At 38.4% G+C, this 24,647-nt stretch overlaps 3 annotated features.

The window, feature by feature from the left end:
* Window positions 4,147-4,256: an enhancer, noted in NCBI's record as "active region_19575". NCBI's record gives its function as "activates an Ori minimal core promoter by ATAC-STARR-seq in GM12878 lymphoblastoid cells {active_cell/tissue: GM12878}" and the evidence as "EXISTENCE:reporter gene assay evidence [ECO:0000049][PMID:35858748]".
* Window positions 4,870-5,039: a silencer, noted in NCBI's record as "silent region_14131". NCBI's record gives its function as "represses an Ori minimal core promoter by ATAC-STARR-seq in GM12878 lymphoblastoid cells {active_cell/tissue: GM12878}" and the evidence as "EXISTENCE:reporter gene assay evidence [ECO:0000049][PMID:35858748]".
* Window positions 6,259-6,348: an enhancer, noted in NCBI's record as "active region_19576". NCBI's record gives its function as "activates an Ori minimal core promoter by ATAC-STARR-seq in GM12878 lymphoblastoid cells {active_cell/tissue: GM12878}" and the evidence as "EXISTENCE:reporter gene assay evidence [ECO:0000049][PMID:35858748]".

Consider the following 24,647-nt stretch of genomic DNA (forward strand, 5'->3'; position numbering starts at 1 on the left):
ATCATAAAGGTGTTCATTGTTATAGTCTTCACATTGAATAGGCTGAAGAGAAGGAGGAAGAGGAGGAGTCTTGCTGTCTCAGGGGTGGCAGAAGCTGAAGAAAATCTGCATATGAGTGGATCGTGCAGTTTCAAACCCATGTTGTTGAAGGGTCAACTACAACTTTTTTCAAAATCAGTGAATAAACTGAGTTATTTTTGCAATGCAAGTAAACAAATAGGATGAATTAGCTAAGTTCTTGGGATTTGGGGATGTTCCCGCGAATTGGCTGGAAACAAGCCCGTATTTTCTACCCAGTCCCCTTCTCTGTATTTACTCAACATCTGACTTTAACAGGCATGAGAACAAGCTCCCTGACCTGCATGGAGCTGCAGCTGGACAAAAGTGAGCAAGCACCTGGAAGGAGGGAGGGCTCCCATGCATTTCTTCCATGAGGACCTCCACCTCATCCAAATCAATCCCATTTTATTCCTTATCGAACCTTTCCCCCATCTACTCTGACAAATAGGACTCTCCCATATCCAGGGCAGCTCAGGATGATACAGTTTAGTTCTATTTTATTTAAGTATGTGCTAATAATATTCTAGAAAGTGAGAATTTCAAGTTTTCCTAGATGTTTAATTGTCTAAGCACTGTAGCTACACAAATAGCAAAGGCCCTTGTCTTCTTATCAGGGATGCATTTTTGAGCCCCTACATTTTCTTCACCTACTCACCCTCTGCTGAAGGAAAGCCCCAGGAACCCAGAGGCAACAAAAGCAGTTATTTTCTTGGTCAAGGTAATTTTCTTTAAAATTATATTGAGAATAAATATTTTCTATGCAATTCTAATTAAAACCAGACAGATTATGCAAAACTTCATGTTAATTCAATATAAGAAGAAATTCCTAATAATTCCAGCTACTTACAAATGGAGTTTATTGTTTATCCCCAATAGACAAAGTGTCCTCTCAGAGGCTGTGTGAGTATTTGACAGGAATAGTTTTTCCAGAAGGGCTGTGCATTGGATCTGAAGTTAGCAGAATGCCTACATCACAACCACATGGGGTATATATTTGAAACGCAGATAATCTAGCTTCAAGCCAGCTGCTTTGAATGGGACCTGAAAATCTACCATTTGGTAAACTTCCTGGGTGACTCAAATACACTAAAGGCTGAGAAGTATTGGTCTAGAATCTATAGAAGTACAAGTCTGAGTCCTAGCTAATCTGTATGTAAGTAGACAACCACTGAAATTCTATTAAGGACAGCCCAGAGTCTGTAATTGTATAATAAAGAAGGCTGATTAACTCCTAAATCAGTAGTCCTCCAACTTTAGTTCAAATAATGTACTTCTGGGAGATCTTATTAAAAGAGAGATTTCAGGGCTCCAGCTCCTTAGACATGAGCTAGGTCCCCAAGTGATTCTAATATGTATGTTCCAAGAAATAAACTCTGAAAACATTGTCCTAAGAAGTACAACCTTTCGTTTTATAATGAGCTGGTTCTGTGGGAAGATGGACCAACTAGAATCAAACCAATTAAAACTGACAAGTTTCTTTCTGTACAGTTCCAAATACATCAATGACCTTTTTTTATCAAAGTAACTGATATCTTTTCTCCAAGAGAGCTTTGAACACCCATCAATTACTTCAATGAAAAATGATTGTCTACTATGTGTCTTACACCACTTATACCTCTTGATTTGTTATAGATCTTTGTTTTCTTGTTTCATTTAGATTTTCTAGAAGAAAAAAGAAAAGTGAAAATACCTTCTGAAGTTTCAAAAATTGGTCAGTTATCTGATAGGAATCATATTTGTATGTGAGGCAAGATAACTATTTGGTCAGCAGATGACAGTTGCTGTGGATGTCCCCTATGTGAAATGGAATTGCTAATGTTAAGATTGTGATTTTATTCATAACAATGAAAACAGCCTGCACCAAATAGTTCTTGCTAAAGCTACTTATTCTCATGGCATATATAGCTCATTTTCTAAGGTCATCTTTTTAAGACATTGCTTTTATGTCTTCTTTTTTAAGTATATAGTACTTCAAATGTAGTCTTCTCTTAGATACCATCATCACCGAAAATAGAGCTTGGGTACAAGTGCAGGCATAGGCTCTATTAAGGGCTCTTCCAAAAGGCTTTCCTTTGCCTATTTATTTCACTTTATAGAAAGGCAAATGGTCCAAATAAATATTAAGCTGAGAAAGGAGCAGAAGTTTTGGAAGAACACAAAGGAGTGTTTGCCTCCAACCATTTTTTTCTTGCTCTGTGATATGGACAAGTTATTTAAGACATCTGAGCCTCAATTCCTTCATCTAAAACTTGAAGAATAAAATATATCCAATTTTCAGAGTCTTCGTGAGAATTAATGAAGTAATTTTTGTGAAGGCACACTACCCGACGTACAATAAACGCTAAACAAATGTCAGTTTATCTTCCTGACCTTTCATCCCCTGGTTCCTTTCCTATTTCCCCCTCCTCCCCTCATCTCCTTCTTACCTCTCCTTCCTGATTTTTTCACCTTTCCTTGCCCCCCCTCTCCTCTTCCCCAACTTCTTCCTGGCTCTCCCTTTATCTCCAGCCTCCTCCCACTTACATCCTCTCCATTCTCTCTTTCCCGCTCCCTCCTCTCCCCTTGGCCCTTCCTCATGCTTCCTCCTTTTCCCTCTCACTCAGTGTTCCAGGCCACCTTCTGGAAAATGAGTCCTCTCTTTGACATTTTCTCTGCTTAGGTCACAAAGTAGCTTTCATAATATGTCCCCTACAGTCTATTCATCACAGTGTTAACAATCAAGTCAACATTTACCTTTTTAAAAAAAGTTGTTGAAGAGCCACCAGGGCAGAAAAACATGCTGTTTCTGCCCCCAGCCACCTTATCCCCAACCCGTGTGGCTTCTAATATGTCTATCTGAATTTCAGTGAAGTTTTATTTTGAACTCTTTAATTACAGAAAGATACAGGAAGTTTATTCACTAACACAAATATATTCTACAAACACATACCATTTTTCCCCATAAAGTTTTTCTATAGAGATTTGCTGTTGCTTTAGAAATCACACACATATATGTCACAACCACCATCCCTGGCCACAGAAGACCTGAGCACTATCAGCCAGAAGCCTCAGAGCTTTCTCTGTGGCAAATGTTGTTGCCCTCTTACCCACAGTTCCTCTGGCTAGAAGCAGAGCTTATGAAATGTCTGCCACTTCACACAGATGCCTTCAAAGCTTCCCTTAGTAGCCCACCGTGTGAGTAGGTCTCATCAGAGGGAATAAGCTAAATGTTACTCCCTGCAGCTTGTGTCCTGAAAGAACCTATTCCTTGAGTTGTGTCATTCACCAAGCCCTGAATAAACAGTATAAAAGACATGAGGACAGCACAGTGAGGCAGAGATAGACCAGCACTTACATACCTGTCATTGCAGGTAATTAAATAAGCTGTTCATTCCAGAAAAAAAACAGCTGGTGGGAAAATGTGTCCAAAGGGCAAAACTATGCCTTCTTAAGCTATTTCCTTTTAACTTGGGTTTTTCCTTTATGGAGATAAGAAGCTGGAAATGGGATGGAATTTGACGCTGAAGCTAAGCTTCTGGGTTTTTTTTCACAGTTGGCTTGATAAAAATAGAACATACATATGTGATATATTTGAGTACAACAAAGAATAAAATAAGAGGAAGTGAGACTTAAAAGTGTGTCTGTGCTTTTTATTTTTGTAAAGAACTAATATACTAAGTTGAAGGGACCACTTTCATTTAAGAATTTCCTCCAGGGTAAAGAGTACCCTTTTGCTTTGGCACTTTTACTTGCCATGGTAATTTTTTTTAACCAGTGCTGACTCTGAACTTTATGCTACTCCTGTAGCTTTATTCTTCACTATGGTTTATTTGTCCTGAGAGAGAATTATTTCTGAACTCTGCATGGGGGTCAGTATTAAATGCTAATAAGGAAGGGGCTCAAACTCAGCCACATCTTTTGGGGAACACAGAGCCCTCTGGGTAGCTGCAGCCACATGGCCAACACTCAGCATCTTTGGGGCCCCTTGCTATGATTGGCAGTGATGTCCAGAAGCCCTCAGATGGAAACACAGATTTCCGAAAGTTGCCATGATAACTTATTGACCAAAATGAGTCATAAGAGTTCCTCCTGCTATAATCAGACAACCTGTGGAACCAAATCTAATTGTCAACTCTGGCTTCCAGTACCCCAAAGGTATTTGAGCCCTGGGCCTAGATCACTTAGCATATCTCTTGTTAACTTACACAAAAACCACGTCTACAGAAAAGGGGTAAAGAAGACAACATTTCTCACACTTGGTTCGCAGGGTGTGGTTTGCGGGACAACAGCAGCAGCTTCATCTGGAAGCTTGTTAAAAATGCAAAATCCTGGACCCCCATCTCAGAGCAGTGAATCAGAATCTACATTTTGACAAGATTCTCAGGTAATTTGTGCACATGTTAAAGGCTTAGAAATACCTGAACAAGGCCGGGTGCGGTGGCTCACACCTGTAATCCCAGCACTTTGGGAGGCTGAGGTGGGTGTATCACGAGGTCAAGAGATGGAGACCATCCTGGCTAACATGCTGAAACCCCGTCTCTACTAAAAATACAAAAATTAACCACGCATGGTGGCGGGCGCCTGTAGTCCCAGCTACTTGGGAGGCTGAGTCAGGAGAATCGCTTAAACCCAGGAGGCAGAGATTGCAGTGAGCAGAGATCACGCCACTGCACTCCAGCCTGGAGACAGGGCAAGACTCTGTCTGAAAAAAAAAAGAAAGAAAGAAAGAAAAAAGAAAAGAAAAAGAAAAAAAGAAATACCCAAACACTGGTTCTTGACTCTGGCTACCCATTAGAATTACCTATGTTGCTTTTAAAAAACAGATTCCTGGCTCTAACCACAAAGAGTTTGATTTAGTTTGTGTGGGTAGCACACATACAGAATCAGAAACTCTGGGGGTAGGGCCCAGCAACCTGTGGTGCTTCTGATACCAGCTAAAGTTCGAGAACTACTGCTCTAGTCTAGTCGACAAAGGACCCAGCATTGGCTGAAGTAGGGTTTAAGCAAGAAGGAATGTGCATATAGTTATGTATAGGTGTATAACAAGATGTGTATCAATATCAACCTTCCTCCTGGAGACTCATCATCTTCTTTCCACTTCAAATACTCCTCTATGTTTTAAAACCATACTAGTTGATGGACATATCACTTTCTGATTAGAATAGGCTCCCCAAAATGCCGTCTATTCTATCATTTCTAGTTTAGCTTAGAGATATCATTGTGAAGGATTTTATTCCTCAGATATCATTGGCATATCTCAGTTTCATGAGTCTGAGCTTGGGAAAAGAATAATTGTTGGTTACAAGAGCAGATCACAATTGTAGGTCTTGTGAACCATGAGCTGAGACAGAAGTTCCTCCCTCAAGACTACAGACAATGTGTCCCATGGAAAAACTACCTAATGTTTTTCCTCATTTTGCTTAAACATGGTTGTTGTGTTCAGAAATCAGAGCTTTATACTGCAACACAAAACCAGCTCCATATATAAGCCATAAGAGCAGCACTGTGCTGTTTTAACCACATTTATAAAAAACAACTGATAATCTACTATCTGACTGTGGAGAGGTGGTACCTACTGACAATAAAATATCGTATATGAAATAATGAAAAAAGAAAGTTTTCTGTTATTAGAAACTGTTTCTATATCTTAATGCTGCTGCCTAGGTGGCTGATGGGGCAATACTTTACAGAGTTATATGTACAACACCTATACTCTAGGGTTTATGTATTTAGACTACAATAATAGGTCTGCATTTATCTAACACGTAGTTAACACTGTCTTTATAAAGACACTTTCTGAAGTAAATATAAAGAGTGAGACTTGGGCTGAGATAAACTGAGTTCTTTACTTCACTGCTTAACTATCTGGCTTTGAACAAAACAAATTCTCAGACTCTTCATTCCCTTTTCTCTGAGACTGGAATATTTCCATATGACTTCTCCTAGAAGCATATCCTGATATAAAAATTTTGGTGAAATAGTTTATTTGGAGGACAAATTCAGGAAACACTGATTAGGGAATGGCAAGATGAGACTGAAAAAAGGAAGCTAGAAAGTGATGTATTATTGAGCAGGTAACCATTGTGAGCAACTGAGGTTCAATCACTCTAAGGAGCTCCAGACGACATTACAGAACATGACTTATGAGTTGCACAACCTAACAAAGAAGAAGCTGGATTATTCATCCTCCAAGTCCCATCTGTCCCAATGGCTAAAGGCTGCACCCAGAGATGTTAACCATACATCTGGCCTGTCCTTATGCAAATATAAAGACAAAACATTAGCAGAGAGTCCCAGGAATTTGCAGTAAAATGTCTTAGGCAGAGCCTGGAACCGTGAGTGTGTATGAGAAGAGCACAAAAAGCATCTGCTACATGAGGTATGTATGTATCAGGTCCAGTCAAAAGACAGAAACCACACAGTAACTTGAACAGGAAGTGCTTAAAATAAATAATTATTATTATGGAACATAGGTTTCTAAGAAAAGATGAAAGAACATCCTGTGGTGGAGAAAGGGTACCCAAGGAAGGAATAAATTTGGAAAGTTTCCAAGGCTAGGATACAGACTTTCTGAAAAAGGGGTAGACATAGCCCAATAAGAGGTTTGCTGGGTTGCCTGGATAAGAAGTGGTCCATTGTCACTGGACTGAGGCCAGAGGGAAATGCATGCTGGGCAAACAGCAAATCCACCCAGAGGTTCAAGTGGACCAAGGTTGGTGTGAGAAATGGCTCTGGTGTTCAACACACCACTGGTCACTCTGTACCACAGGAGCCAATCAAAGAAGCAGGACACAGAACCCACGAAAAAAGCCCTTTCCTCTGCAGTGTCTCTCCAGCACCCTCTACTGACAAAGAGGAAATATTTACAAGATCCAGTTCAGTATCACAAGCAGTAGTATCACAAGCAGAGCAATGAAGGGTAGATTCTGACCACTGACACAAGGAAATACTATTTACATAAGATCATTCGATATGAAGTAAATGGAATAACGTATTAAAATTACTTTTTAAACAGTAAAGTTCTCTGTGTTAATCTGTTTAGTGTTTCTGTGACAGAATATCTGAAGCTGGGTAATTTGTAAAGAAAATAAGTCTATCTTGTGATTTTGCAAGTGGGAAAATACAAGAAGCATGGCAGTGGCATTCTCTCAGTTTCTGGTGGAGGTTTTCCTGCTGCCTCATAACATGGGAGAAGGTCAGAGGGGAAGCAGAGAAGCAAAGATTCATAACCTGAGGGCCGGCACATCCTGGCTTTATAACAACCCACTCTGCAGGAACTAAGGCATTCCCATGAGAACGAATCCGAATCTCATCTTGCCTGAGTGAGAACTCACCAAACCATTTATGAGGGATCCACCACTGTGACCCAAACACTTCCCACTAAGCCCCACCTCCAATGCCTCCACACTGGGAACCAACAATTTCAACATCAGTTTTAGGGGGGACAAACTCAAGCCATATCCAAACCATAGCATTCTTGATATACTTGGTGTGAAAGTAATTGCAGTTTTAAAAGACATTACTTTTAATGTAAAAAAAAAACTCAATTACTTTTGCACTAACCTAATAGTATTTTTAAAATGAGTGCTTGTATGCAAAAACATCATCAGAATTACTATTTATAATAAAACTATGTTTTTCACTAACATGGTTGATTTATTATATTTTTAAAGCTATCTTTAGCATATGGTCTTTTAAACAAGGTTTTCTTCTCTGTAAAAATGTCATAAATTGACTCCCATGTCCATACACATTTTTCATGGCCTAAAATTCCTTTAATGGGGATCAAGTCTTTCTTCTACAGTTACTGATAAGTGCAATATATTTATTTTAATCCACAGAATACAAAGGCTCTAGCATATTTTTATTTCTTTTACAGAAAATTTTGATAGACAATGGAAAAAGTGAGGAAAATGGTCTATGTACAAAATGAAAAAGCTATTACTGGGCAGTTAGACTGTCCTTGCTTCTCTCCCTCAAAACTCTTCAGGAAACCGCATCTTTTTCTTTCACCCTAGTTAGCACAGAGTCAGATCAGTGCAAAAAAAAAAAAAAAAAAAAAAAAAAAACATTATGAAGCTGGAAACCCCCATTCTAAGCAAACTATCACAAGGACAGAAAACCAAACACCACATGTTCTCTCTCATAGGTGGGAGATGAACAACGAGAATACATGGACACGGGGCGGGGAACATCACACACTGGGGCCTGTCTGGGAGTTGGGGGCTGGGGGAGGGATAGCATTAGGAGAAATACCTAATGTAAATGACGAGTTAACGGGTGCAGCAAACGAACATGGCACATGTATACCTATGTAACAAACCTGCGCATTGGGCACATGTACCCTAGAACTTAAAGTATAATAATAAAAAAAATTGTTTGGGGAATTACAAAAAAAAAATTGAATTGAAATCCTCTAATTTATCACACTCTTCTTTCTTATTCTCCTCACTAGTGATATGTCAATTAAAATATCTCCTTGAGAGGTCTTTATCACATACCTATCCAATTAACCTTTCCTCTAAATGAATTAATCTCTTGACCCATCAATGTGCTTCTGGCTATTAATTTATTGTTTCCTTTCAGTTACCAATGATGTTCATAGTCACTTATAACTCTTAGAAATAGAAAACCAATCTGTCGTCAGGTCTGCCGATAGGTCAGAACATCCTTTGTTCTCCCTTCTCTTTATTTCGTGAAGTTTTAAAGGCTATCAAAGGGATGTAATAGTACAGCATAAGAGACAGGCACAGAAACAAAAAGACAAGAGGTAAGCATGGATAGAAACACAATTTCTGTTTTGAGAGTTGTGTACATGTCAAAGTAATTGGCATTTTAAAGGGAACTGTAACAAAATGGTCAAAGATGGCTAGATAAACATTGGTCAAGTTCATTGTGGAGGTAATGAATGGGATGAATTACATTCGGCCAGGTGATTTCTGAAATGTTTTCTGGCTTGAGATGCTCCAATCATTGGGGAAAGGAGAGAGGCAAGTCTAAGAAAAACTTTCATGTATGACTTGGACTCTACTCAGATGTAACCAAAATTAAAACTCATCGTCCATACGAGCAGAGAAGGTGACTATCTGGTCACAAAAGTGAGAAACCATTTGGATAGTAAATAGTCAAGTAGCTCATGCCCCAACTCTCGAAGCTAAAACAAACCCAGCATCTAGAACTAACAAAGAGAAAAGTTGAATCCCTATATCCTTCTGATACTAGGACTGATTCCGGATCAGTTACTTCACCTGACTCTTTCTGGTGTTAAACAGAAGGGCTGTGGAAGAGACAGCAGGCAGATAAAAGGTAAATAGAAATGAAAAGTAGTATACTTGAGAAGTATGCCCACCTCATGCACCCAGGATGCCCACAGCTCTGGGAAGATGTGAGCCGAACCATCAGGGTTTGTGGGAATGGGCCTCTATATTGGGGTTCAATGATCTTCCTCCATGGTCTTCCATATTTTACCTTTTCCTCTTTTCATATCAAAATAGGAGGATGTTTATTGACTGTCTACTATATGCCAGGTACTTTAGATATGCGGTCTCATTTAATCTTCCCAACAACTCCATAAAATATGCTTTGTTATTGCTCTGTCATGAATGAGAAAGCAGAGGCTGAGAAACTATGCAATTTTCTGCAGCAAATAGGAAGCACAGTGCCTTTAGATTCCAAAAACCATACTCAGCACAACTCCACGGTGTCACTAGATCTCTCTCAGACTCTCCTGGATGTTTGTAAGTACATAGTCTACCCTGCCCTGAACCCAAACTTGGTAAACAAATCTTGAAAAAGCACATACATCTGCAAAGCACCTTAAAATATGAGTGTTTTTATTTGTCTCCTGATACACCTGTAGTACTATCAGAGCATAAAATATAAAATGAGGCTTATTCTATAGAGGAGGATATTGAGGTAAGATTAAACAAAGAGTCTAAACTGGAAAGACATGAAAATAGTTGATATTTAATGGGTACTTATAAAGTAACAGGCACTATACTTGAAGCTTTAGATATCAATTCATTTTGTTCTAACAATAATCCTGTCAGGTAGTTACTGCTATTATATTCATTTCATAGCTGAGGAAACCGAGGATAAAATAAGTTAAATAATATATCCAAACCCATACTCCTAGTAAGTAGCTGAGTTAGAATTCCAACCCAATGATATCTGTTTCAGAACTCTTGCTCTTAGCCTTGTACTGTATTCTAGTTTTGTGCTTATCTATTGCTCATGTGCCTCTTTAGGTTATAAGGCTTTCCAAGATGGCCAAAGTCTTTCAATAGATTTCTAATCCCCACACAACAACCAGGACAGAGGCTGATGCAAAATGGCTACTGAGAAAATGTGACTGACAGGCCATAAAATCTAGACCTATATGGGGATTAATAAAAAACTTGCCACTGTAAAGCTTCCCATAACACAATAAGCATTTAAACTAAGTAACTAAAATGGAACTCAAATTAACCACTCCAAAAGGTCTACTTTTGTGCTTCCAGATCTTCCACCAACTACGCAGCAAAGGTAGAATGAAAATCTGTGCAATATCTGTGTTTCAAACTGGTACCCAGAGACAAGCAGAATCTCTACTTAGCATCTCTTTAACCATTATGAACCCCTTTCCTTAACATAGCCCTCTTTGAAGAAGCTTCTGAGCATTTGTGTACCTTAGAGTGTGAATCATCTAGCAAATAAATAACCTGAGTACATAGCATTACTATCCTTATTTTAAAAAAAAATGAAGTCAAAGGAAATGGCATCTTTTCTTAAGGCTTAAGGTCTCTGAATGCTTAAAGTCAATAGCTCTGACTATTGACTGCTGGTGGTAAATAGAAAAAAAAAAAAAACACACAAAAGGCTCTATTCCTCTGTCTAAGCCAAAATGGCAAGGCATTCACAGACAAACATTCAAGACAGGCAGACCCCTTTCTCCTCAGTCTCTCATTAAAGCAGGCACAGGTTAAAGTGACTCTTGTTGTCCCCACTTGAACTATTTCTTGTTTAAACATAAATTTTTTATGGAGGTCCCAGATTCTTAGGTTTGCCACTGAAGCTTTCTTTTAGAACCAAACCCTTGTTATTTATAAAGCTTGAGACTAAACAGAAAATTTCTCTGCCCTTCTTTGCCACCCCTCCTCCCATTCCTTCCTTGTTGCCCTCTTCCCTTTCTCTCTTCAATTCATGCCTATACTTGAAATATCAACACAAGGAAGTTGGCTTAAATGTGAGATAAAATATTTCCATCATCTGCTCAAGAGACTTCTGCCAAATATCAAGGTTGTTGACTCACATGGAGTGTAAATATACTCTAAAAACCATATGTCAGGGGACCTTGGCTTACATTATTCACTTGGGTCTGCTCAGAAGTAGGCTACTCAGAGAGGGCTATATCAGACACCACCGTAAAAGCAAAGGTATAGTGTGATTGCTTTTTTATTGCTCTGAATCAAATCAGAAGGGGTGATTCACTTGCTGTGATACATTTATTGAGAAACACACAGCTCAACTTTTCATTTACAGAGAGGATATTTGACAGAATAAAGGGGGCTTCAGATTTTTTTCTAAGTAAGCATCTGCATTAGTTTCAATAGTCATGACTCCTCCCTTCACTACAACAGTTGTAGATAGCTAAGTGCGAAAAGCAGCTTCTGGCATAGCCCCAATGATCCTTACTTCCTGGTGTGCACACTTGTGAAATCCTCTCCCCTTGAGTGTAGGCTGAACCTAATGACTTTCTTCTAACATATAGAATACAGCAAATATAATGTGATATCACTTCCATTATTAGGTAACAAAAGACTGTGACTTCTCTCTTGCTGGTATTTTCTCTCTCAGGTTCTTCTCAGTTACTGTGATAGAAAGTATCACAAGGCAAAGGACTGAGGACAGCCTCTGGCCAACATCCAGTAAGGAACTGAGGCCTTCATCCCAGTAGATGGAAGAGAATTGAATCTTATCAACAACCACTGAGTGAGCCTGGGGCTGATCCTTCTCCAGTTGGCCCTTGAGTTCAACCTTGAAGCCACTGACTATATTTTTTTTTAATTTTTAAAGTTGATACACAAAAGCTATACATATTTGTGGTATACAACATGATGTTTTGAAATATGTACACATTGTAGAATGACTAATTAACATATGTATTATCTCAAATACTTATATTTTATTTGTGGTGAGGATACTTGAAATCTACTCTATTAACAAATTTCAAGATTATAATACATTGTTATTAACTATAGTCACAAACTGTGCAATAAAGTCCCTGCTTATATCTTAATGGCAGCCTGTGAAACCCTGACAGAGGATCTAGTCAAGCTGTGCTCAAATTCCAGACCCGCACAATCTGTAAAATAATAAATATGTGTTGTTTTATACTGCTAAATTTCAGTATAATTTGTTACACAGCAAGTAGATAGCTAATACAATAAGAATGGCGGGGATATGCCCTTAAATTGAGCAGAAACCAAAACATCCCTTCTCAGCATAAAAGTAGCACAAAACAAAAAACAAGAAAAAAGGAAAAAAACGTTATGGGCATAGGATTGCTTGGTGAGCATGACATAGGTAAAAAGGAATACAGCAGCTTAATAGATATGTCATCCAGAGTTGAACAGCTCTTAGTCTAAGAAAAGACTAAAAAGCAATGTTCCCTCTGATGCACAGGACTGGAAAACTTTTCTGATTTTTTTTTGCCCCTTTCAGCCAGACCATCCTATTACAATATAATTGACTAGGTTTCTATTTCCCATAGTTATCTCAGTACCTGCAACCCTTCAACCATGCTGATTGGTTTGCTTGGTTTCCAAGCCTCTTGGCAAATGGTTCCACTGTCCATCTTACACTGATCTCATAGTTTCCATCTCATTTTTACCCCAGTAACTACAGTATTATTAGCTCCACTTTATTCATAAGGAAGTCTGAGAGAGGTCATATTACATACAAGTGGAAGAACCAATAATAGAATCTAGTATCAAAGGATCTTCCCTTGGATCATTCAACTTCTCAATACCATTCCTTCTCAATTCTTTGTAGAAATATAAAATAAATTTCAAGACATACATTGAATTGTGTTCATAGCTCCTGTTTCTACCAATTTCTGCACTAACATCTTGTACTTAATACTAATCTCTTATCTTCTTGGGTTTATGGTCCCTGAACCCTCAGAAATTCCTTCTGATCTTTTACCCTAGCATGTTAAAATCTCAGAATCCAGTACCTGAGAATCTTTCCCAAACATTCTTTCTTGCCTTTTTTTAAAGCTTAGAAAGGCATGAATTTTGAAGTCTAACATACCTGGGTTCCAATTCTGGTTCTATGATTCAGTATGACACTAGCTGTGGGTCTGCCATATACGACTTTTATTATGTGGTATTATGTTTCTTCTATACTCAGTTTTTCAAAGGGTTTTTTTTTTTAATCATGAAGGATGTTGCATTTTATCAAATGCTTTTCAGCCTCCATTGAAATGATCATAGGATTTTGTCCTCCATTCTGTTGATATGATGTATAACATTGAAATATTCACATATTTTGAAACATCTTTGTGTCCCTGGGATAAATCCCATTTGGTCATGATGAATGATCTGTTTAATGTATTGTTTCATGCAGTTTCCTACTATTTTGTTGAGGATTTTTCATGAATATTAATCAAAGATGTTGGCCTGTAGTTTCCTTTTGTGATGTGTTTTTGTCCGGTTTTGGTATCAGGGTAATACTGACCTCATAAAATGTGTTCAGAAGTACTCCCTCCTCTATTTCTCAGAATAGTTTGAGTAGGATTTGTATTAGATATTTTTATTTATTCATTTTTTTGAGATAGGGTCTTACTCTTTCATCCAAGCTGGAGTGCAGTGGTACAATCATGGCTCACTGCAATCTCAAACTCCCTGTCTCAAGCAATCTCCCTACCCCAGCCTCCCCAGTAGCTAGGACAACAGGCATGTACCACCAAGCCTGGCTAATTTTTGTACTTTTTGTAGAGATGGGGTCTTGCCATGTTGCCCAGACTGGTCTCGAACTCCTGGACTCAAGTGATTCTCCTGCTTCAGCTTCCCAAATTTTGGGGATTACAGGTGAGTTATTTAAAGGTTTGGTAGAATTCAGCAGTGGGGCAATTGGGTCCCAGGTATTTATTTACTGGGACACTTTACATGACAATTTTGATCTTGTTACTTGTTATTGGTCTGTTAAGGTTTTGGATCTCTTCATGGTTTAAACTTGGTAGGTTGTGTCTAGGAATTTATTTCCCCTAGATTTTCCAATTTATTGTCATACAGTTGCTCACTTAAGATCCTTTGAATTTCTGTGATATCAGTTGTAATGTCTCTTTATTCATTTTTATCTGAGTCTTCTCCCTTTTTTTCTTCATCTGTCTGGCTAAAGATTTGTCAATTTTGCTTGTCTTTTCAAAAAAACAGTTTTTGGTTTCATTGATCTTTTGCTTATTTTTCTTCATTTCAAATTCATTTATTTACACTCTGATCCTTATTATTTCTTTTTTTCTACTAATTTTGGGTTTAGTTAGCTCTTGCTTTTCTAATTCTTTAAGATGCATCATTAAATTGTTTACTTGCTGTTTTTCCTCTTTTTAAACATAGGCGCTTATAGCTATAAACTTCTGAGTACTGTTTTTGCTGCATCCCATAGGTTTTGGTATGTTGTGTTTCCATTATCATTTGTTTCAAGAAATTTTTCAATTTCCTTCTTATTTTCTTCAATAACCCGCTAATCATTCAGACATAATGTTTAATTTCTAGGTGTTTCTATAGTTTCCAAAATTCCTCGTTATTGATTTCTAGTCTTATTCCATTGTGGTCAGAGAAGATGTTTCATATTATTTCAATTTTTTTGAATGTTTTAAGACTTGTTTTGTGACCTAACATATGGTCTATCCTTGAGAATGATCCTTGTGCTGAGAAAAAATGTGTATTTTGCAGCCACTGGATGAAATGTTCTGTAAATATTGATTAGGTCCATTTGGTCTATAGTACACATTAAGTCTGATGTTTCTTTGTTGATTTTCTATCTGGGAGATGTATCCAATGTGAAAGTGGAATCTTGAAGTCTCCAGCTATTATTGTATTGAGGTCTGTCTCTTTCTTTAGCTTTAATGATATTTCCTTTACATATCTGGGTGCTTCAATGTTGGGTACACATAGATTTACAATCATTATAGCCTCTTGTTAAGCTGACCCCTTTATCATTATAAAATAAATTTCTTTGTCTCTTCTTACAGTTTTTGTCTTACTCCTGCTCTTTTTTTGTTTCCATTGGCCCATGGAATATCTTTTTTAATACCTTTATTTTCAGTCTATGTGTATCTTTATAGGTAAAGTGTGTTTCTTGTAGGCAACAGGTCACTGAGTCTTATTTTTTCATCCATTCAGCTACTCTATGTCTTTTGATTAGTGAATTTATTCCATTTAAATTCAATGTTATTATTGATAAGTAGGGACTTACTCCTGCCTCTTGCCATTTGTTTTCTGGTTGTTTTGCAGTCTTCTCTCTCTTCTTTCCTTTCTTCCTATCTTCCTTTTAGTGAAAGTGGTTTTCTCTGCTGGTATGCTTTAATTTCTTGCTTTTTATTGTGTATCCATTGTATGCTTTTTGATTTGAGGCCTTGAAAATACTATCCTATAACCTATTATTTTAAGTTGATGACACTTAAAACTTATTACATAAACAAACAAATATGCAAAAAGAAAACAAAAACTCTACACTTTCACTTTGTCCCCTTGCTTTTTAACTTTTTGTTGTTTCTCTTCACATCTTATTTTACTCTCTACGTCTTGAAAAGTTTTTGTAGTTATTATTATATGTTTGATTGGTTCATCATTTAGTCATTCTACTGAAGATAAAAGTACTGTATATACCACAATTACAGTGTTATAAAATTTTGTGTTTTTCTGTGTACTTACTATTACGATGGAATTTTGTACCTTCAGATGGTTTCTTCAGGCTCATTAACAAACTTTTTTTTTCTTTTTTTTGAGACAGAGGCTCACTCTTGTTGCCCAAGCTGGAGTACAATGGCACAATCTTGGCTCACCACAACCTCCGCCTCCTGGATTCAAGTGATTCTCCTGCCTCAGCCTCCCAAGTAGCTGGGATTACAAGCATGCACCATCACGCCCGGCTAATTTTGTATTTTTAGTAGAGTCAGGGTTTCTCCATGTTGGTCAGGCTGGTCTTGAACTCCTGACCTCAGGCAATCTACCTGCCTCGGCCCCCCAAAGTGCTAGGATTACAGGCATGAGCCACCGTACCTGGCCAACATCCTTTTCTTTCAAATTGAAGAACTCTGTTTTGCATTTCTTTTAGGATAGGTCTATTGTTAATAAAATCCTTCAGCTTTTGTTTGTCTGGGAATGTCTTTATTTCCCCTTTGTGCTTGAGGAATATTTTCACCAAATACACTGTTCTAGAGTAAAAGGTGTTTTTTTCCCCCTTTGGCTTGTTAAACATCTCATGTACTTTATGTCATTCCATTCTCTTCTGGCCTGTATGATTTCCACTGACAACTCTGCTGCCAAATGTATTGGAGCTTCATTGTATGTTATTTGTTGTGGTTTTCTTGCTGCTTTTAGGATCCTTTCTTTATCCTTGACTTTGGGAGTTTCATTATTAAATGCCTTGAGGTAGTCTTCTTTGGGTTAAATCTGCTTTACGTTCTGTAACCTTCTTGTACTTGAATGTTGATGTCCTTCTCTAGGCTTGGAAAGTTCTCTGATATTATCCCTTTGAATAAACTTTCAACTTCTATCTCTTTTTCTATCTTCTTCTTATAGCCAATGACTCTTAGATTTGTCCTTTTAAGACTATTCTCTAGATATTGTGGTGTGCTTCCTTTTTTTTTTCTTTTGTCTCCTCTGATCATGTATTTTCAAATAGCTGTCTTCAAGCTCATTAATTCTTTCAGTGGATCAGACCTAAAGCCAGCACAACACTGGGTCTTGCCCAAGGCCCATTTGTTCAATTCTGCTATCAGGAGACTCTGATGAATTCTTCAGTATGTCAATTGCACTTTTCAGCTCTAGAATTTCTGGTTGATTCTTTTAAATTATTGCAATATTTTTGTTAAATTTATCTGATTGAATTCAGAATTCTTTTTCTATGTTATCTTGAATTGCTTTCAGTTTTCTGTGTCTGAAGGGTCACATATCTCTGTTTCTCCAGGATTGGTCCCTAGTGCCTTACTTAGTTCATTTGGCAAAGTCATTTTTTTTGTTGTTTCGTTTTATTTTGTTTTGTTTTTGGATGGTCTTGATGGTCATAGATGTTCATTGGTGTCTGGGCACAGAAGAGTTAGGTCCTTGTTGTAGCCTTCATAATCTGGGCTTGATTGTGCTCATCCTTTTTGGGAAGGTTTTCCTAGTATTCGCAAGAAGTTGGGCCACAGGCCCAATAGTTCTTTGGTTTGTGCAGATTTGTAGAAGTGCTGCTTTGGTGGTCTTGGATAAGATCCAGAAGAATTCTGTGGATTACCACGCAGAGACACTTTTTCTTTTTAACTTACTTTACCCCAAACAAACTGAGTCTCTATCTCTTTACTGAGCTGCCTGAAACTGGTGGTGTGGTGATGCAAGGACCCCTGTGGCCACCACCACTGGGATTGTGCTGGATCAGACCTAAAGCCAGCACAACAGTGAGTCTTGCCCAAGGCCCACTGTAACCACTACCTAGATACCCACTATGTTCACTCAAGGACCTAAGGCTCTACAATTGGCAGGTGGCAAGGCCAGCCAGGTTTGCATTCTTCTCTTTGGGGTAGCAATTTTCCTCAAGCCCCAGGGAAGTCCATAGATGCTATTCTATTCTATTCTGCTGTGGCTATGCCGGCACTCAAACCACAACATAAAGTCATTCCTACTCTTCCCTCTCCTTTCCACAGGCAGAGGAACCTCTCCCTGTAGCCACCACCACCACCAGCCTATGAAGAGTTCTGCTAGGCCACCAGTGATGTTCCCTTAAAGCCTAAGGTCTCTTCCATCAGCTTGTTGTGAATGCTCCCAGGCCTGGGACTCATCCTTCAGGGCAGCAGGCTCCACTCTGGCCCAGGGCAGGCAGGTCCACAAATGCTGTCCAAAAGCCTAGGCCTGTACTCAGGGACCCCAACTGTCTGCTTGTTGTTCTACCCCTACTGTGGCCATGCTGATACCTAAGGTGCAAAACAAAGTCCTCTTTACTTTTGCCTCTGCTTTTCTCAAACAGAAGGAGTCTTTCACCATAGCCACTGTAGCTGAGAATGTGCTGGGTCACACCTGATGCCAGCACATCTCAGAGTTCAAGGCTCATGGCATACTACCTGCATATCACTGCTAGTTATTCAGAGCCCAAGGGTTCTTTAGACAGTGGGTGATGAATCCTAGGTCCTTCCCTTCAAGGCAGTGGGTTCTGTTTCAGCCCAGGATGTGTCTAGATATGTCATCCGTCATCTAGGAGCTATGGCCTGGAATGAGGCCTCACAACTCTACCCAATGCCCTATCCTACTGTGGCTGAGCTGGTATCCATGATGCAAGACAAAGTTCTCTCTACTCTTTATTCTCCTCCCCTCAAGCAGAAGGAAGGAGTCACTTTCATTGCTGTAAGCTGCACTGCATGGAGTTGGGGGAAGGAATGGTACAAGCACTACCTTAGCCACCCCAGCTGGTGTTTCTCTAGGTCATGTGCCACCCTAGTCCATGGGCTGTAAGCCCAACCCAGCACTAGGAGTTGTCCAGAAATTGTAGTCCATGTGTCCTAGACAAACTTTCAAGTTTACCTAGGCCCCCAAAGCACTTTGGCCCATGGTGGTGAGGCTTGCTAAGAAACTCAAGTTCCAACTACTGGCATGGTCTATTCCCCTTTGGCTAGAGCTAGTCCAAATTCTCCCTCTGTGTGCATGAGCTGACTGAGCCCAGTATGGCTTTTGTTCTCTCTATGACAAGGCAGCACTGAATTCGATATAAAATCCCCCAGTCACCGAGCATTCCCTCCTCCAAGTCCACAGACTCTCCGTGCCACTCAGCCATTGCCTGTAAGTTAAAACCAGGTACTGTGATTGCTCAACTGATTTTTTGGTTCTTATGAGAGTGCTTTTCTGTGTGTAGATTGTTGTTAAAATTTGTTGCTCCTGAGGGGGCGACAAATAATATCGGCTTCTATTCCACCATCTTGCTCTGTCCCAGGTATGTTTTTTAAATGCTTAAAACCTATAAATTCCTTCTGGAAGTTGATTTCTCTTGTCTTGTTTCTTTGTTAGTGTTACAGTATCATTTAGCATCATCATTAAATAACACTACACACGTTAGATATTAGCTATTTCATGGCTGTTGTGGCAGTGGGACAATTGGTGATGGTGATATTAAATCCCAAGTTAATGTGAACATTGGCCCTCATGTGATCTGCTATCCATTCCATGAGCTCTTCTGCCTTTAGGAAGTGCTGCATCCCCTGAAAACATCCCAAAATTATGTCCAAAGATGATCATGAATCAGATGTTCTGTGACAAAATTTATTTCTTGATGTGTGCCCTCTTCTGAGTTCATTCCTCCTTGCTGAGATTTCATGTTGTATAGAATCAGAAAGACTCTTCCCAGGCCTGCTCTGATACCAGTCTTTCCACCTCAGGCCATGTGATAATAAATCTATGTTTATTTCCAAAAAGAAACAAATTGTCCTTGACTGTCTTTACTTGTTTTTCTTATTAGTTCCTGATTTTTTTTCTGTACTAGAGAAAAATAGCTTCTAGATTTTATATGAAACTGTGTTCTTATCTAAAGTTCAAACATCTTGGCTGGGAGTGGGAGCTAACAACTGTAATCCCAGCATTTTGGGAGGATGAGGTGAGAGGATTGCTTGAGCACAGGAGTTCAAGACAGCCTGGGCAACATAGCAAGACCCTATCTTTACCAAAAAAATTAAAATTTAGCCAATCATGGTGTTATGTTCCTGCAGTCCAGCTACTTGAGAGACTGAGACAGAAGGATCAGTCGAGCCCAGGAGATTGAGGCTGCAGTGAGCTATGATCATGCCACTACACTCCAGCCTGGGCAACAGAACAAGACCCTGTCTCCAAAAGAATTTAAAAGGTTCAAATATCTTTTCACTGTATTAATGCCTGTGGGCTGGGACACTTAACAGGTGCCGGGCTTACTTGAAAACCAGAGAGGAGCCTAGTAAGAAGCCTGTTGGTGATTTACTACCTTACAGACAGCTTCATAACCCTACCTAGGACAAATTTTCATCCTTATCTTCAAGATCTCCTGAACTCTTCTCAATGATTTCATACCCAGGTGGCAAAGATTTATTTCTTATATGAAGTACAAAGTTTTAAGTTTTAATGCTTTTCTTTTCTTTTTTGGTTGAAATCTGGGCTTTTAGTGCACCCATCACCTGAGTAGTGAGCGTTGTACCCAGTAAGTAATTTTCTTTTTTTTTTATTATTATACTTTAAGTTTTAGGGTACATGTGCACAATGTGCAGGTTTGTTACATATGTATAATGTGCCATGTTGGTGTGCTGCACCCATTAACTAGTCATTTAACATTAGGTATATCTCCTAATGCTATCCCTCCCCTCTCCCCCGACCCCACAAGAGGCCCTGGTGTGTGATGTTCCCCTTCCCATGTCCATGTGTTCTCATTGTTCAATTCCCACCTGTGAGTGAGAACATGCGGTGTTTGGTTTTTTGTCCTTGCGATAGTTTGCTGACAATGATGATTTCCAGCTTCATCCATGGCCCTACAAAGGACATGAACTCATCCTTTTTTATGGCTGCATAGTGTTCCATGGTGTATATGTGCCACATTTTCTTAATCCAATCTATCATTGGTGGACATTTGGGTTGGTTCCAGGTCTTTGCTATTGTGAATAGTGCCGCAATAAACATACGTGTGCATGTGACTTTATAGCAGCATGTTTTATAATCCTTTGGATATATACCCAGTAATGGGATGGCTGGGTCAAATGGTATTTCTAGTTCTAGATCCCTGAGGAATCGCCACACCGACTTCCACAATGGTTGAACTAGTTTACAGTCCCACCAACAGTGTAAAAGTGTTCCTATTTCTCCACATCTTCTCCAGCACCTGTTGTTTCCTGACTTTTTAATGATTGCCATTCTAACTGGTGTGAGATGGTATCTCATTGTGGTTTTGATTTGCATTTCTCTGATGGCCAGTGATGGTGAGCATTTTTTCATGTGTTTTTTGGCTGCATAAATGTATTCTTTTGAGAAGTGTCTGTTCATATCCTTTGCCTACTTTTTGATGGGGTTGTTTTTTTCTTGTAAATTTGTTTGACTTCATTATAGATTCCGGATATTAGCCCTTTGTCAGATAAGTAGATTGCAAAAATTTTCTCCCATTCTGTAGGTTGCTTGTTCACTCTGATGGTAGTTTCTTTTGCTGTGCAGAAGCTCTTTAGTTTAATTACATCCCATCTGTCAATTTTGGCTTTTGTTGCCATTGCTTTTGGTGTTTTAGACATGAAGTCCTTGCCCATGCCTATGTCCTGAATGGTATTGCCTAGGTTTTCTTCTAGGGTTTTTATGGTTTTAGGTCTAACATTTAAGTCTTTACTCCATCTTGAATTAATGTGTGTATAAGGTGTAAGGAAGGAATACAGTTTAAGCTTTCTCCATATTGGCTAGCCAGTTTTCCCAGCACCATTTGTTAAATAGGGAATCCTTTCCCCATTTCTTGTTTTTGTCAGGTTTGTCGAAGATCAGAGGGTTGTAGACATGTGGCATTATTTCTGAGGGCTCTGTTCTGTTCCATTGGTCTATATCTCTGTTTTGGTACCAGTACCATGCTGTTTTGATTACTGTAGCCTTGTAGTATAGTTTGAAGTCAGGTAGCATGATGCCTCCAGCTTTGTTCTTTTGGCTTAGGATTGACTTGGTGATGCGGGCTCTTTTTCAGTTCCATATGAACTTTAAAGTCGTTTTTTCCAATTCTGTGAAGAAAGTCATTGGTAGCTTGATGGGGATGGCATCGAATCTTAAAAGATGTAAGAACTGCTGGGATGCCCTCTTAAGTTTAGATATCAAAAGGCAGGTACTATAATCCTTCTTTATTCTCTTCTGCATAAAATTATTGTTTTTCACAACCTGGGTGCAGACTAGATTCTACTACAATTTCAATATGAAACTGGAAATTTTAATAAGATACATCTGGCAATTCAGCCTTCAGGTCCCAGGCCAAATGTCACCATTTAAGATTTATACTCTTATAACACCGTGAGCTTTTTTCAAAGGATTTAAATTAAAAATGTAACTACGTATTTTATCAATCAATGTTTCTTTTTTCATCACACTGTAAACTCTTTGAGAGCAGGCACTTTGTCTATTTTTCTCACTATTATATCCATAAAGAACACAGAAATTACTAAATATTTGTGTAGTTAAACAAGTGAATAAATGAGGGAATGAATGCATCAATGAATAAAAAGCTGGGATCAGATGTTTTGTATCATAGGAACCGTGTCAAGATTCAGAAATGTTGTTGACACCAAACCAATCTCTAAATTATGTTCTCTATATTTGCCATATTTACTACTTTGTAAGATAATATATCTTCCAGTAGAACTCAGGGTTAACTTTGTATTCTGCAAGGCCATCTGAAATCTGTATGGACCTGCCATTCTAGGTAAAGGAGATCTAATCTCTAGTTTCCTCTGACTCTCCAGGTTCTGACTCAGCAGAATGGACTAAAGGACCATTATCAATATCCAGAACTTCTAGGCTTCTTAAAGAGCTTGAAATGATGTACATAGAATCAAAGTTTCCCCAAAACCTGAAAGCAGTTTTGGACCCAGCGTTCAGCCATACTTGAATACAAAGGAAAAAAGTAAATGCAGAAAGTGGTGGGAAATGAAAGGAGAAAGGCAATAGAAGAAAGCACTAATTTTTTGACATAGCCACTTGAAAGAAGAAAAATAATTAGTTATATATTTACACAATTACCAAAGAATTATAGCCCGTTTCTCAAAGTCTGTGTTTTTAATAGTGATCTATTTAGACAGTTGTATTAACTCTCACAGTCCAATATGTTACTATTGGGAACATAGAAAGATACCTGTTGTTTATATTTAATATAAGTTTCTATCTTTTATCTGTCAGGGGAAATTGAATGAGAACACTGTTTTAGAATACCTCAAAATTTCTTAGCTGTAACTCAGTATGCAGATATAATTAATGGTGGAAATGAAAATTCCCCACACTGGGAATTCTGGCTTTATTGCTATTAAATCCTCTGCACAGAGGTTGAGCCAGAGGTCTTGGGACCACATATTTTACTTCCCTCCTTCTATCTTGTTCCCATTTCTGTGACCGAGTTTCATTTCTCAGTTTTAGTTCTGCTCAGTTTTCTTTTCTCTGAGAATAAAACTACCAGATGTAAATGGCACCTGTTGCCACAGCAGCTAAAATATTCAGTTCTACCTTTCTCTTCTCAAAGGAACCTTAATGTATTCAGTACCTTTCTCTGGGTTAGAACAAAAGTTAGGAGCTAGGTTAGAATTAACCTCAGATATTCTCACAACCACTGAGATACAGCGTATGTGTGAATTCATTGACTGTTGATATTCCAAATCATTGTAAAATCACCTGTGTCATGAGAAAAAGAAACAATCATATGATTGATCAATGGTTCCATATTAACACCATCTGTCTAGGGGCTCTTCTAAGAGTTCTATGGCAAGAGAGAACAAAGTACACTAATGGAGCGTGAACTTTCTGTGGCTTACAAAGTCGGTTACATTTCAAGTTAGATTCATGTTTGATTCCCTGCAGTTTAATTTAGCCAGCAATATCCCCATTAAGATTGGTTCTTCCTCTGATTGAATCAAATAATTACTTGCTTATACTTCCAAGCTCTCATATCCCTTCCAATTTCTTTTGTTTTCTCAATGGAATTACTGTCTGCTTGGTTAGTTGAAAGGATTAAATCCTAACTGAAAGAAAAGTAGGAGTCTTTGAAGTGGCTGCTCTGTCTCTATTATAGAAACAGGAAAGGCAGGAAGTCCTACAAAAACTGTCACCACATTTATTGCCAAGTTTGTTCATGTCTGTACATTTTAAGGGATGGCTCTCTAAAGTCATGGAAAATTAAATGGGGAGATGGATTCTAAAGAAGGAACATATGTCAAACAAAAAATATATCCACACATAAAAACTGTATACAAATGCTCATCATAGCTTTATTCATCACAGTCTCAAACTGGAAACATCCCACATGCCCATCAACAGAGGAATGGATGAACAAAATACTGTTCAGCAATAAAAGAAATAATCTATTAATATACGCAACAACATAGATGGATCTCAAAAGCATTATGCTGAGCGGAAGAAGCATACTATGTGATGACATGTATATAGAACTCTAGAAAAAAACAAATCTAATCTATAAAGACAAAAAGCAGATCAGTGATTGCCTGGAACCAAGGTAAAGAGAGGAGAGGACTGACTAGGGACAAACACAAGGGACTTTTGTGGCATGATAAAATGTTCTGTATATTAATCGCAATGGTGTTTATATGGGAATAAATTTACCAAAATTTATCAAAACACTTAAAAGGATTATACTTTATTGTATATAAATTATATCTCAATAAATATGATTTTTAA

Source organism: Homo sapiens, chromosome 3 (genome assembly GCF_000001405.40).
Source record: "Homo sapiens chromosome 3, GRCh38.p14 Primary Assembly".
NCBI lineage: Eukaryota > Metazoa > Chordata > Mammalia > Primates > Hominidae > Homo > Homo sapiens.